General features: G+C 37.7%; 1 long non-coding RNA gene across 3 annotated transcripts in view, besides 1 other annotated feature; it reads right to left on the minus strand.

The window, feature by feature from the left end:
• LINC02277 (long intergenic non-protein coding RNA 2277) overlaps positions 1 to 13,081 on the minus strand; it is an 89,356-nt gene that overhangs the window by 33,876 nt on the left and 42,399 nt on the right. The window lies entirely within an intron of this gene.
• Positions 12,677 to 12,877: a silencer, noted in NCBI's record as "peak2143 fragment used in MPRA reporter construct". NCBI's record gives its function as "represses an SCP1 promoter by STARR-seq MPRAs in K562 erythroleukemia cells {active_cell/tissue: K562}" and the evidence as "EXISTENCE:reporter gene assay evidence [ECO:0000049][PMID:32103011]".

Below are 13,081 nucleotides of genomic sequence, written 5' to 3' on the forward strand. Positions count from 1 at the left end.
TCCAAACAGATTTCATTTCCTTCCTAGCCATGAAAGTCTTTTTTAATAAAGATTAGTGTTTGGTTGCAGCTGTAGTTTGGCAGCTTAAAATTTCTCTCTTCCTGAATTTTGCAATTTACATAGGAACCTTCTTTCAGAAAATATTGTCAGTGGAATTGAATGGACATTAATTTTCAATTAAACTAACATGAATTTCCACTTGTCTATTGACAGTTTTCTAGCAAATAGAAGATTCCAGAGTGGGGAAAAAACTTTTTCAAGTTTATTACTGACAAAACCATCAATGTCAGTTATGGCCCAGAAAATCCAATTTAGGATTTGTCTGAAAGGAAGATACTGTCTCCTCCTCAGAAAAAGGTGAGCCCCGTGGTGTAATTCATGATGCATACCAATGGCTGAAGCAAAAATACATATGAATAATGCACTGTGTGCTGCCATCCATCGCAGGAAAATCTCTTAATTGAAAGGGGCCACAAGGTTTTATAGGGACCGTTAAGCCAATCTATTTTTAGCTGAGTAACTCTTCATCTGCCCATGCTAGGAAATTACAGCCTTGACATTAATTATGGCTATGGAAGTGTTACCTGAAAAATTAATTTTATGCTGTGCAAACAGTTAGGTAGAAAATCCATGAAGAAAGTGCCACTGATAAGACAAGTAGTTCCTCTAGAGTCCAATGAGACCATCTGTGCCTTTTCCTGAGCTTTTTCCTTTGGTTACATTTGAGCTGCTACATCCACTAGTGGAAAATGTTCTTATTTCAAAAAGGAACACCAGGGAAGAATGAAATAAAGTATTTTTACCTTGCGACTGTCCTTATTAGTATGTATGCCCAAATGCATCAAACTAATGAGGCAGTGTCATTATATGGAAAAGCTGTATTGGGTGTTCTGAAAGTTTTAGCACATTGGAAGGATAAAACAAAATAAAAGCTATTAAACACATGTGGTCATAAAGTAATAATGAAGATAGTCACACAATATGTTGACTTCACTAATAACTACTGCATGTAGTGTAAAGGGTAGAATTTTAAGATATTCAATTTTTCCCCAAAAGCATAAAGTACCGAAAGCTATATTCCAAACACAGTACATGGTATAGAAACTTTTTACAATACAAATTGTGGTTCCAGCACATTTAAGTTCTCCATTTTTATTTAAAAGAGGGCAAAATAAATATGAATTTCAATATTACCTGTATGATGCTTAATTCATTTGCTTAATCTAAAGGTTAAAATAAATAATATCACCATTTTGCACATTTAAGTAAAAATCTACTGAAAAATAACAAACGTTGGAGAAAATAAAACAAAAATCCTTAATCTTTATCCTCAGAATATGATGGTAGTAAAATTAAACATATTAAATCATACCATGAGCATTCTAAAATTAAGCAGAAAAGACAATTGTATAATTAGAAATGGGAAACAAGAAACATTTAAATCCTTCTTGGCATTGTAGCTTAATATATTCCATTATTAGTTGAGTTTTTAAATTGAAATAATCATACAATCCCTTCTGGTCCCTGTAAACACAGCCTACCTAGTATAACATTAGACACAGCTCAGTAAAATCTCAACACCAAAACTCTCCAAATCTACCAAACATGTGGGAATAAGAACAGTATCTTTTCATTCCACAGGCTTGAAATTTTATAGAGTTTCACCCTTAATCACAGAGGATTGGAAGCCTCTTTCAGTGGAACTTTCCCTGATATAGATAGAATATGCTGAGGGTTATTTCTCCAGAAACTGTGTCTATATCTACTATCTGAATATTTAAGGAACAAAATACCCATTTCCAACCTATGCAATACAATGTACTACTTCAGATCCTCTAAATATGCTAATCTCCAGCTTTATCATGATGTCTCTAGTTTTTTTCCTAAAAGTTCAGCATGGGCAGGTCTAGACAAAACTGTGAAGTTGGTAATTTATTGATAGTTCCTGCACCTAAATTCCTCTTTTGTATCTCACTTTCACTTTCCACTACTACCCTACCCAACTCCCTCTAAACCTTTGAACCCTCATACTCTTCCCTGAATGTGAGAATTGTCTTATCACAGATTTTATATCACAGTTTGTTAACTTATTCAATATTGATCAAGCACTTACTAACAGAGCAGGAGCATTGCCATCTTGGACAAGCCCCTCATTCTAAAGTTCACATTAATAAAAAACCACCTAAATCCAAAGGGCATCAGTGTAATGGCTAAGGTCAGCATAACCATAAACCACAAATAACATCTCCAACCAGACACATTCCAAACTCCTCCCCAACCAGACATGCTGGCCCCTAGATAAGCCCCTCCAGCTGGGAAGATGCTAGCCTCGAGATAACCCCTCTTAGGACCCGAAAGATGTCTGCCCCAGATAACCTCCCCTCCTCCCAGAGAGATTCCAACCCCACTATAAACTTCTTTACACACATAAACATTCCAAGCTTATGATAAACCCCCCCTCACCCTAAAATCAATATATACTCTTAGTCTGTAAGAGAAAGCACTCCTGACCTCAATCGGCCAGGAGCACCTCTCAGGTTTTAACTAAAGAAAACCTGTCTTTGACTGCCAAGCCACGTTTCGTGTTTCTTTCTTTTTTTTTTTTTTAGTTCATCAAAGAGTGTTTATTTAACATTTTCTTTTTTTTTTTTAATTATACTTTAAGTTTTAGGGTACATGTGCACAACGTGCAGGTTTGTTACATATATATACATGTGCCATGTTGGTGTGCTGCACCCATTAACTTGTCATTTAACATTAGGTATATCTCCTAATGCTATCCCTCCCCCTCCGCCCACCCCATAACAGGCCCCGGTGTGCGATGTTCCCCTTCCTGTGTCCATGTGTTCTTATTGTTCAATTCCCACCTATGAGTGAGAACATGTGGCGTTTGGTTTTTTGTCCTTGCGATAGTTTGCTGAGAATGATGGTTTCCAGCTTCAGCCATGTCCCACAAAGGACATGAACTCATCCTTTTTTATGGCTGCATAGTATTCCATGGTGTACATGTGCCACATTTTCTTAACCCGAAGGATTATAAATCATGCTGCTATAAAGACAGATGCACATGTATGTTTACTGTGGCACTATTCACAATAGCAAAGACTTGGAACCAACCCAAATGTCCAACAATGATAGACTGGATTAAGAAAATGTGGCACGTTTCGTGTTTCTTACCTCTTTCTTTAACTCTTACATTTGGTGCCAAAACCTGGGACGAGTGCTGGGGGCAGAGGCTCCCTTGCAACCCGGGAAGCAGTGGGCAATGGCCGCTCATCCTAAGTTCACTCCTGGATCCTGAGGGTCTCTGGCCACCTGCCCTGTCTTTTCTCTCACTTCACTTTTCCCTCATCCTCCCTTTCTCTCTCTCTCTCTCTCTCTCTTTTTCTCTCTCTCTCCATCGTGCAGCTGCAGTCCAAGAGGTCCTTTGCTGATTCCAACTGGAACATCCAACATCGGACACTAATCCAGCTGACTGGTAAGATCTGCCCTCCCCTGGTTTTCTCACAGTACCCGGGAAGTCAGGTCCACTGTCCACGTCCTCGGAGGACCAGCGAGACTAAGCTAAAAGAAGTCTTGGGGATGCCCAGTGTTCTTCTCAGTTTGACCATCCTCTTTAGAAAGAGGATTCTGGGTCTCTGTCTTTTGTCTGGGGATGCCTAGAACAAAAACAGACACCCTGGGCTGCTTCTCACGAATCCACATGGATGCTAAAAAATCCCACATTCCTATACCCTCTCCACTGTGCTGTCTCCTTCATGACCTCACCAAACTTGGCTTAAGTGTTTAGTCTTTTACTGTAACACGGCCTGGCACCAAAACACATTAGATAATGACAGCCAATGGCCTGAAAATGGCACCTTTAACTTGCAAATTCTCAGGAATTGAACAACTTTATAACCAGGAATGGAAAATGGCAAGAGGTTCTCTATATTCAGGCCTTCTTCTACTTTTACCTTAAATATCAACCCTCCCTGTGTCAAGCTTGCACCTCTCACAAAATCTTTCTTCTTAATAAAAACCCTCCCCAGGTCTCTCCTTCCTCCAAAACTCCTTTTGACCCTGCAGATAAACCCCCTCTGTATTCTTATCCCCCTGCATCCACTCCTTACCAATCCAAATCCTCCGCCCTGGTGGCCCCTCCTGCTTCCAAGCATTCAGCCCCAAACCCCACTCCTCCTCCTTCTCCACCTGTTACCCATTCAAAAACCACCTCTGCCATTCATTCACTAGGACTGAAATCAGGCTGGAATACAGAGGTGAGGTCAATACTCTGAGGACTGACTCAGCTGCAGAGAAAAGTATGTGAACCCAGAAAATCTGAGACAGGTCTCAGTTAATTTAGAAAGTTTATTTTTCCAAGGTTGAGGACGCACCCATAACGCAGCCTCAGGAAGTCCTGACGACATGTGCCCAAGGTAGCTGGGGCACAGCTTGGCTTTATACATTTTATACATTTTAGGAAGACATGAGACAATATATGTAAGAAGTACATTGGTTCAGTCTGGAAAGGTGGGACAACTTGAAACAAAGGCAGGAAGACTGGAAACAGGGAGGTAGCTTCTAGGGCACAGATGGGTGAGACACAAGTGGCTGCATTCTTTTGAGTTTCTGATTAGCCATTCCAAAGGAGAAAGAGACATGAACATGAGCAATGCGTTTAACCCCAGCCACTTCCCAGAGAGGGAGAATGGTTCTACTTGGATGTTATAGCATTTATGGTCCTGATAAGAACAAGAAGGCAGGCCAAATTTAGAAGATTTGAGGAAGGTTTGTTTACAAAGTGACTATTTACAAAGTTGTAGGGAGGGGATGGGGGATCGAGGGTAGTTAGTACAATGACTCTGGGTCAGCAGCAACAGAGCCGTTAAGACCTGCAGGTCCAAAACAGTAAGGGGAAGAGGCAGTTACTAAAAACTGGAAGGAGAGAATCATATAGATGAGGCCACCAGGAGAATAGTGGTAACATGTGCTCGGGTAAGTAATACAGAGAACCTGAGAAAAAAATAGGACCGTGAGGAAGCCAGGAGAATAGATCTAAAAACCTCACTTTCCTTCCCTCTCCCATCTGTGCGCTCCCCATTGACTGAACATAATCGGGAGCCAAAGGGCATAGAGATCTACCAATGAAATGAACATAGATCAGTCTATTGGAGAATAGGGTAAAGGAGAAGAGTAGAAGAGGATTCTGGAAAACAAAGAGAAGTTATTCACTGATGTGTAATAGGTATCTCAAAATGAACATTTCTATTACTATCACACAAGTCTTTAAGTAAAAAAAAAAAAATAACATCTCTGAAATTCAATATTTGCCTGAAAAAATGCTTCATCTTTAGTCTTCCTCTCTCACAGGATGGTGACTCCATCTTTCCAGTTGCTTAGGCCAAAATTCTTAGGGCCATTCTTGATGCCTGTATTTTTCGTAAACTTAATCCAATCGTCAGGAAATCCTGTGGTCTCTATGTTCAGAATGTATCTGGAATGCTACCACTTCCCAGCACCTTTGCAAAACCATTACCTCCTGAGACTGAATTTCTGCAACAACAACAGAAAAGTAATATTGTACAAAACTTTTTGTCTCTAATTTTCCAAAACACCTGATGACTTATCTATGTAGGCATATAAATGTGATCCCTAGTTTCAATACTTACGGTAAAAATTACGTGCAATTCTGCCTTTTGTATGGGATTCCTGCACCAATCTATTACATATCCTTTTTTTAAACACACACGTAGAATTAATACAAGCGAGAGACTGAAAACTGCCCTCAATTACATACTTAAAGGTTCACATAAAGATTTGAAAAGGTCCAGAGAAATTACATGTCTGCCTCAGCAAGTTCATAATAGCAAATGAGGAATTGGGGCAGATTACTAAAAATAAATTTAAATAATCCTCTTTTGTAAACCATACTAAGCTTTGCCTGTTTAAGTCAATTTTGGCAAAGAAATTCCGACTATCACAGTGAAAATATGTGAATTTATTTTGAAACTGTTCCAACCCCAGAAAATGCCAAGATAATTAACAAGTTTACAAACTTTAGAAAAGGTACCACGTTTTCAAAAACAATACGGTAAACGTAACAAAAATCCTTTCCACCTTACTGCTTGTCTATTTTTGGAAAGCAAGTTGCTGTAACTCTTAACACAAATTTAAGTGAAATAATCAGTTAATTTCTTCATAAGAAACAGTTATCACTTCAACTGCACATTAAATTGGAGGTGTGTAAAATAAAGACAAAATTAATATTATTCAGAAAAAAATCAACAGCCTATATATGTTTGGTGTATTACATTAAATATAAACTTAGCAGCTTTATGTATACTTATTAAGCTTTTAAACACATACTTAAGCTGAAACTGAAGTTAAGAAAGGAAATGGCCTTTAAAATCGAGCTACCAAAATCAGTCCTCCTTGGGCTTTAAAACAGAAAATAAAAATACTACATTATAGGAAGGTGCAGGTATGTCAACTAGTGGCAGGCCAGGTCTCACTAATGCAGGCCTCCATTACAACTGTTTCAGCACTGACTGAGTAGTTAGATTAAATGTTAACAGCTGATAGAGCCAGTGCCCTCATACAAAGGCTGGAATGTAACAAAAGCCCACCAAGAGTTTGGCTTTGGCCTTTCCTGGGCCTTGAAACACGACAAGATAACAAAGGAATTCTTAATAGAACTCGTTTAGGATTAAAAAAATTTTATTGGTGATCTGAAGGAATTCCCCAGACCTCCACAAACAAGCTTTATTGGGGACTGAAGGAACTCCCCAAACCTCCATGATTTAGAAGGAGACAAGATAAGGGTAATCACCCCTGGCGCCTGGACCCATCTAGATTAAGTAAACTTACTGGGGCTCCAGAGGAAGGTCTTCAGGACTCAGATCTTAGTTACAGATTAAAAGAAGTTAATCACTTATGTCTTTAGATTAATGCACACTTACATGTAGACATGAAGCTTAGAAGATATACAAGCTCTGGAATTTGTAATTTTGAGTTGGTCTGCTAATAATTTCCAGGCCTTCTCCCTGTAACCAGTTACAGAAATGAAAACCTCCCTTCTTTCCCAGTTCATCTGCATCTCGTTATTGGGCTGTGAGAATAAGCAGCCTGACCCTCGGTTTGGTCCGGGAACAAACTTACGTCTTCACTATGATACATCAAACTCCTTTTGCACCCATGCATTCATTAACAGTGATATGATAGCTCCTTTCTTGTCAACTATCTGTTTTCTATTCAAAATTCATCAAATTTAATTGATTTAAAAGAAATGTACAAAATAAAAACAGGTTGATCCTTCACGTTTATGACTGCAATTTTAGGGCTGACTTACAGTAAGATTATTGCTCTCTCCCTAGGCTCTCTGGAAATTTAGTTAAATAATTAGCAGTTTATTTAAGTTACATATGAACTTATTACTATAAAAATATTAAAAATAATAAGCTTTATTAATTGCCTGTTATTTCTCTGCCATAATGCAAACCAATTTAAATACATTAGCCACTTAATAGCTATAACAACCCAGTGAGGTAGATATTAATACCCGCATTTATGTCAAAAGGACTTTAAATTGGAGTTATCTACCAACAGGCTATTTGAGAAAAGTGTTGGTTATGTTCATGAGGGCATGGTTAAAATAATGATTTATTAACTAAGAATTTCTGTTACACTTCTTTCTGCAAAGAAACTACTTGCCCAAGGGGTATACACTATTTCTAAGTGAATGACAGAATGGTGAAATGTCCACATTTTAACAAGTGAGCCATAACTGACAGATGCTCTGAGAAAGAGCAAGTTCAGAAGAGTGTGGTGTTCTCAGTCTCCTCAGGGAGTGATGCCTCCACTCGGAATTCTAATTTCAGTTTCTGTTACTAAGGAAGAAGAGCAAAACCTGACAGCACAGCCATGGAGGAGAATGAAGGAGAAACAGGGCTGCGAATTCTTAATTAACGGGGATGTTCAGGGATGCCAATGTGAGCTTTATAAGAGCACTGTGGAAGGTTGCGTTTAGAATAGATACAGAAGCTACTCACTGCTATCACTAACTTCGGGAGGTAAAATGGCAGTTTCCAAAGTTCTACTCAGTGGTGAGAAGGGAAATTATTTTCTCTGGATCTATCTCCCTGAAAACACTTTCATACTGCTAAATGACTTGGTTAATAGCATGGCTCAGAGGTTCCAAAACTCAGTTTCTGAAACTAATTCAAAATGTGCACTCAAGAAATGAAAAGAAACAATCATAAGCAAAAATACTAAAGTCCTAATGATTTCAACTAATGTTACATTCCCAGAAGAATCAGGGAGCTTCCTAAATATTTCAGGAAAAGTAAAAGTAATGTAGGGTCTCCTTTTCTCTAAGAAAAAATGTTTAATAATTTAGTGACATTTTCATTTTATTATTCATCCATGGAAACATATTGAAAATTTTAACAGTGCTAGGCACTGTGTTAGGCACAAGAGCTCCTAAAAAACAAAGGCATATCTCTGAAATTAAAGATATCATAGCCTATTTGGAATGAATACCAAAACGTCCTATGGTTTTGTAAGGTTAGCCAAAGAAGCCAGAAGGCTTTACAATAATGATTTAAGGAGGTAAGCAGCACATGTAATCAACAGTGTTATGACTCTCTCAAGATGTACACAAACTGGAACAAGCATAAAATATCAATACTTAAAGAGAACAATCAAATTTTTAAAAATATACACCAAGATATATTTTCACAAATAACATTTTTTGTAAGGTGGATAAAAATTGCTGGAGACTAGTTTGCAGTCACAGTTGTCCTCAAAGTTTTGATGACTTGTCAAAGATCAGTCTTGGTCAGTGTAATTGTGATATGTTAACATTATTGGGGCAAGTAAACAATTATGGTAATTGCCGGGATAGATATACGATCAAGCTGCGATGAGAGCCTTAGTCCATTTGGCTTACTCACTGCTATAAAAAAAATTCCTATATACAAACTGGATGGCTTATGCACAACAGAATTTTTTTTCTCAGAGTTCTAGGAGGCTGGAAAGTCCAAGATCAATGAGCAGCAGATGTGGTGTCTGATGAGAGCCTGCTTTCTTGTTCATAGATGGTGCCTTCACATTGTGTCCTCACAGGGTGGAAGGGGCTAGCAAGCCCCCTTGGGCCTTTTTTTATAAGGGTATTAATCTCATTTATGAGGACTCTACCCTCATGACCTAATCACTTTCCAAAAGTCCACCTCTTAATACCATCACCTTTGGGGTTATGCTTTCAACATACAAATAAATTTCTGGGGAGACAAACATTCAGACCATAGCAGAGGGAAAAGAAGAAACTCTACAACTAGGAGTATAAATAATGAGGAGACTATCAGTAGCTGAAAGTTAAAATGCCTTGCTGTATATCAGAACTGTTCAAAAGAGGAATCATTAATCCTGCTGTACAGGGATCCATTAGAGCTCAAGAGATGTTAAGGCAGAGGCCAACTGTCAACACATTGTAGAAAAATTCTAAAACATGAAACTAGGAAATAATCAAGACTTTCCAAATGGATCTAATCCAGAATTTCCAATTCTGGTTTCCAGGCTTCAGTACAGACTTGCCCACAAAGGATGTAAAACTCTCCATCATGGAACAATCTATACTGGGACAGCTGGGCCCTATATCATCACATACCAGGCAGCTCCATGGCAGTCATCAAGGTGACCTTCCCTTTTGTAACATGACTTTCCTAAAGATGAGAATTTTCATCATCCTCATAAACTCTGCATACTTTTCCAGCCACATTAATTTTAGATGCATCCTAACAATTGTTCTTTACTCTTCAATACTGATGTCTGGCACAGTTGGCAATTTCTTTCCTACTGTTCGCCCTATCACAAGTTTTCTTTAATCACAACCTAAACCTTTTGTTTTTCAGAAAGTCATCCCAATTTATTACATTTATTCATGGCCTCCCACAGCAAATACTGACCACAAAGATGTGAAATCCTAAAAGTGTGGACAGGGACATGCTTTTATCTTCAAAATCAAAAGTAGAAGAGGGAGATCTTTTTCCAAGCCTGCCTGCTCATCTTTAATGGTAATAAAACATCATTTATCAAGTGGTCTCTCTATGCCTAATACCCTTCTATACACTTTACAGGAATAACCTCATTTAATCTGCTCCACTGAGTGTGAGTCAAATGCTGTCAATATTTCCTTTTGACATAGGAAACAGAAAGGCAAATGACTTGCCTGCAACTGTCCATCTATGTAACAGAGCAAGGGTTTAAACCTAGGCAATGTGGATTTAAAGACTTAACCATTACTCTATTCTCTCTCCAGTATATGACAGTTCTTACTATTATGATCCCTATGGGCACATAAACAAGGTAATTTATTCATTAACTAGCTCTGTTTATAGGAAATAAATCAGAGAAGATGGAGGAGAGGAAGGACTAGTTGCTAGATTAGCAATGATAATCCCATAAATTAGATGCTAGAGCCAGTCCAGACATGGATCTACTTGGAGAGAGAATGAAAAACACATAAAGTAGATCCACTCTGATGCCACAGATTTAAGAGAACTAAGCAGAATAACTGTAATCCCAAAGAGACTGACAGAGAATAATAACTAAGCAGATAAGATACGTGGATTCTTTCTGATGTGAAGATGGCATGGGAGAGAGAGCGAAGCCCTCCACATGTGAACGATGACCACCTTTTAAAACTACACAAAAATAAACTGCTAATGCTTTCACAGCAGTATATTTTGTCTACACTATTATTATGACCTACTTATATAATGTAACATGGATGCTGTTCTACTCTATTAATATCCACCCATCTATCATTGTTCCCAAATTTTATAACTAGCAAAAATTTACATATAACTAACATAAAAAATTTGAGGAGAGTCCATGTTTTGTCCTTTCCTTTTATCTCCCAAAATCTCCTGGAACAGCACCTTGGCAATAATAAGCATTGAATATGCTGAAGTTAAATCTATTAAAAATGTAGATACCTTTCATGGGAGGAAATATTTTCCCAGAACTTTTGGAAGAAATTAGATGAAACAGGGAATGGAAAAGTTTATTTTAATTAAATCAGAAAAATGGCATACAGCAAAGAAATGAAAGATATTAATAATTCTAAAAATATTAAGAGAAAGTTTTAGAAAGGAAAAGTATCATCATGAAATAGGAAATGAATCAGAGAGTGCAAAATTTATTTCAGATGGATACAAAAGAGATGGATCTTTAAAATGCAAAGTTGCTTTAGAAACAAAATGACTTTTTATAAAGCTTCTAATATTTTATTTTTTTATGTATTGTATTGTATTGTATTGTATTGTATTGTATTGTATTGTATTGTATTGTATTTTTGAGATGGAGTCTCACTCTGTCACCCAGGCTGGAATTCAGTAGCACGATCTCAGCTCACTGCAACCTCTGCCTCCAAGGTTCAAGTGATTCTCCTGCCTCACCCTCCCGAGTAGCTGGAATTACAGGCATGCACCACCATGCCGGGCTTTTTGTATTTTTAGTAGAGACAGGGTTTTGCCATGTTAGCTAGGCTGGTCTCCAAGTCCTGACCCCAGGTGATCCGCCCACCTCGGCCTCCCAAATTGCTGTAATTACAGGCGTGAGCCACTGCACCTGGCCTAAAGCTTCTAATATTTAACCCCTGGCACAAAATCAAACTGGAGGCTGGCTTTAGGGAGAGGATATCTCTTGGCATCTATGCTGTTGTATTTTAACATTTTTAGAGCTACCTGTTGTATCATGCACCTGTCTGCTCTCAAGTGATTTACTAAAATCAAGAGTTTGTGTGTATTTTCTAGCTGCCTGAACTTAGCCTTCTCTTCTCAAAAGATTTGAGAGAGAGGAGAGAGAGCTCTTCATTCCCATTCCACGCCCCATACCCTCAACAATGATTGCTTTCTCAATTTCATCCTACAAATTTGAAAGTAGCCAATGTAACTAGCATGATACAGTGTTAGCAGTCTGTTCTCTGAAGAGAAAAATTGCCTAGCCAGATAAGTTGGCAATACTTGGTTGGCTTTTGTTCCATCATCACATGATAATTACACCATGTATCTCTAAGAGCTTACTTTGCAAAATGAACTTCTTATCATTGCACAGCAAGCATAGGCTACCAATTGAGAGAAAACAAGACTTTTCTGGAAAACAGTGACACTTCCCTTGCTTTGAAAGGAAATGGAGGATATGGGAAATAATTACAAGTAAAATTACAAGTAGAGTATGGATTATTTATATCCTTACAGAGAAAATATAGGCCCACCCCACCCTTCTTAAAATTATTATTAGCATTTGTTAAGTAAGGATATATATCAAGCTAAAAAACTATGTTACAAATTATTTTCAAATGACTTTTTAAAAATCAAAACATCGTGATACCAATGCTTATATTTTAAAAGGACAGTTTGAAACTATTTCAGGGCTCATCTTAGGAAATTGCTGTTTCTAGTTTATGAATCGTAAAGGCTGACCAAACATATGGCCCACAAGGACCAGCAGAGTTCCAAAGTGTGGGATTTATTGATTTAAAGAAGGAATTTGCAAATGCCTGTAAAAGACCAGAGAATCTCTCAATGATTACTACAACTATACTAGTTAACATTTCTGAAAAAGAATGTATTTTAGGCTTTATAGGTCATAAATTCTCTGTTGCAAGTACTGAACTCTGCCACTATAGCACAAAAGCAGCCATAGATAATACATAAACAAATGGGTGTGCCTGTGTTTCAAGTAAAGTTTTATCACAAAAATAGATGGTGAGTCAAGTGTGGCTCATGGATTATAGTTTGCTGATCTCTGATTTAGAGTCACAAAGACAGCTGACAGAAATTGGACATCAATATCACCATACATGGCAACAGAGAGGATATTCCCTCTGAAAATAATAAAGGGAAAAAAAGTGGCACATAGAGTTTCTAAGCTGAAGTTAATATATAAGTGGTATCCTTGGTACATTTCTTAGATTTTACTTAATGCTATCTGGATAGGCAATAGTTAAATGATTTATTAAAGGTCAAAGTAATTTATTTATATGAAATGCCATCACCACAACAAAAATTCAATAGGCATGGTATTTGCATATAACGCC

Source organism: Homo sapiens, chromosome 14 (assembly GCF_000001405.40).
Source record: "Homo sapiens chromosome 14, GRCh38.p14 Primary Assembly".
Classification (NCBI taxonomy): Eukaryota; Metazoa; Chordata; class Mammalia; order Primates; family Hominidae; genus Homo; species Homo sapiens.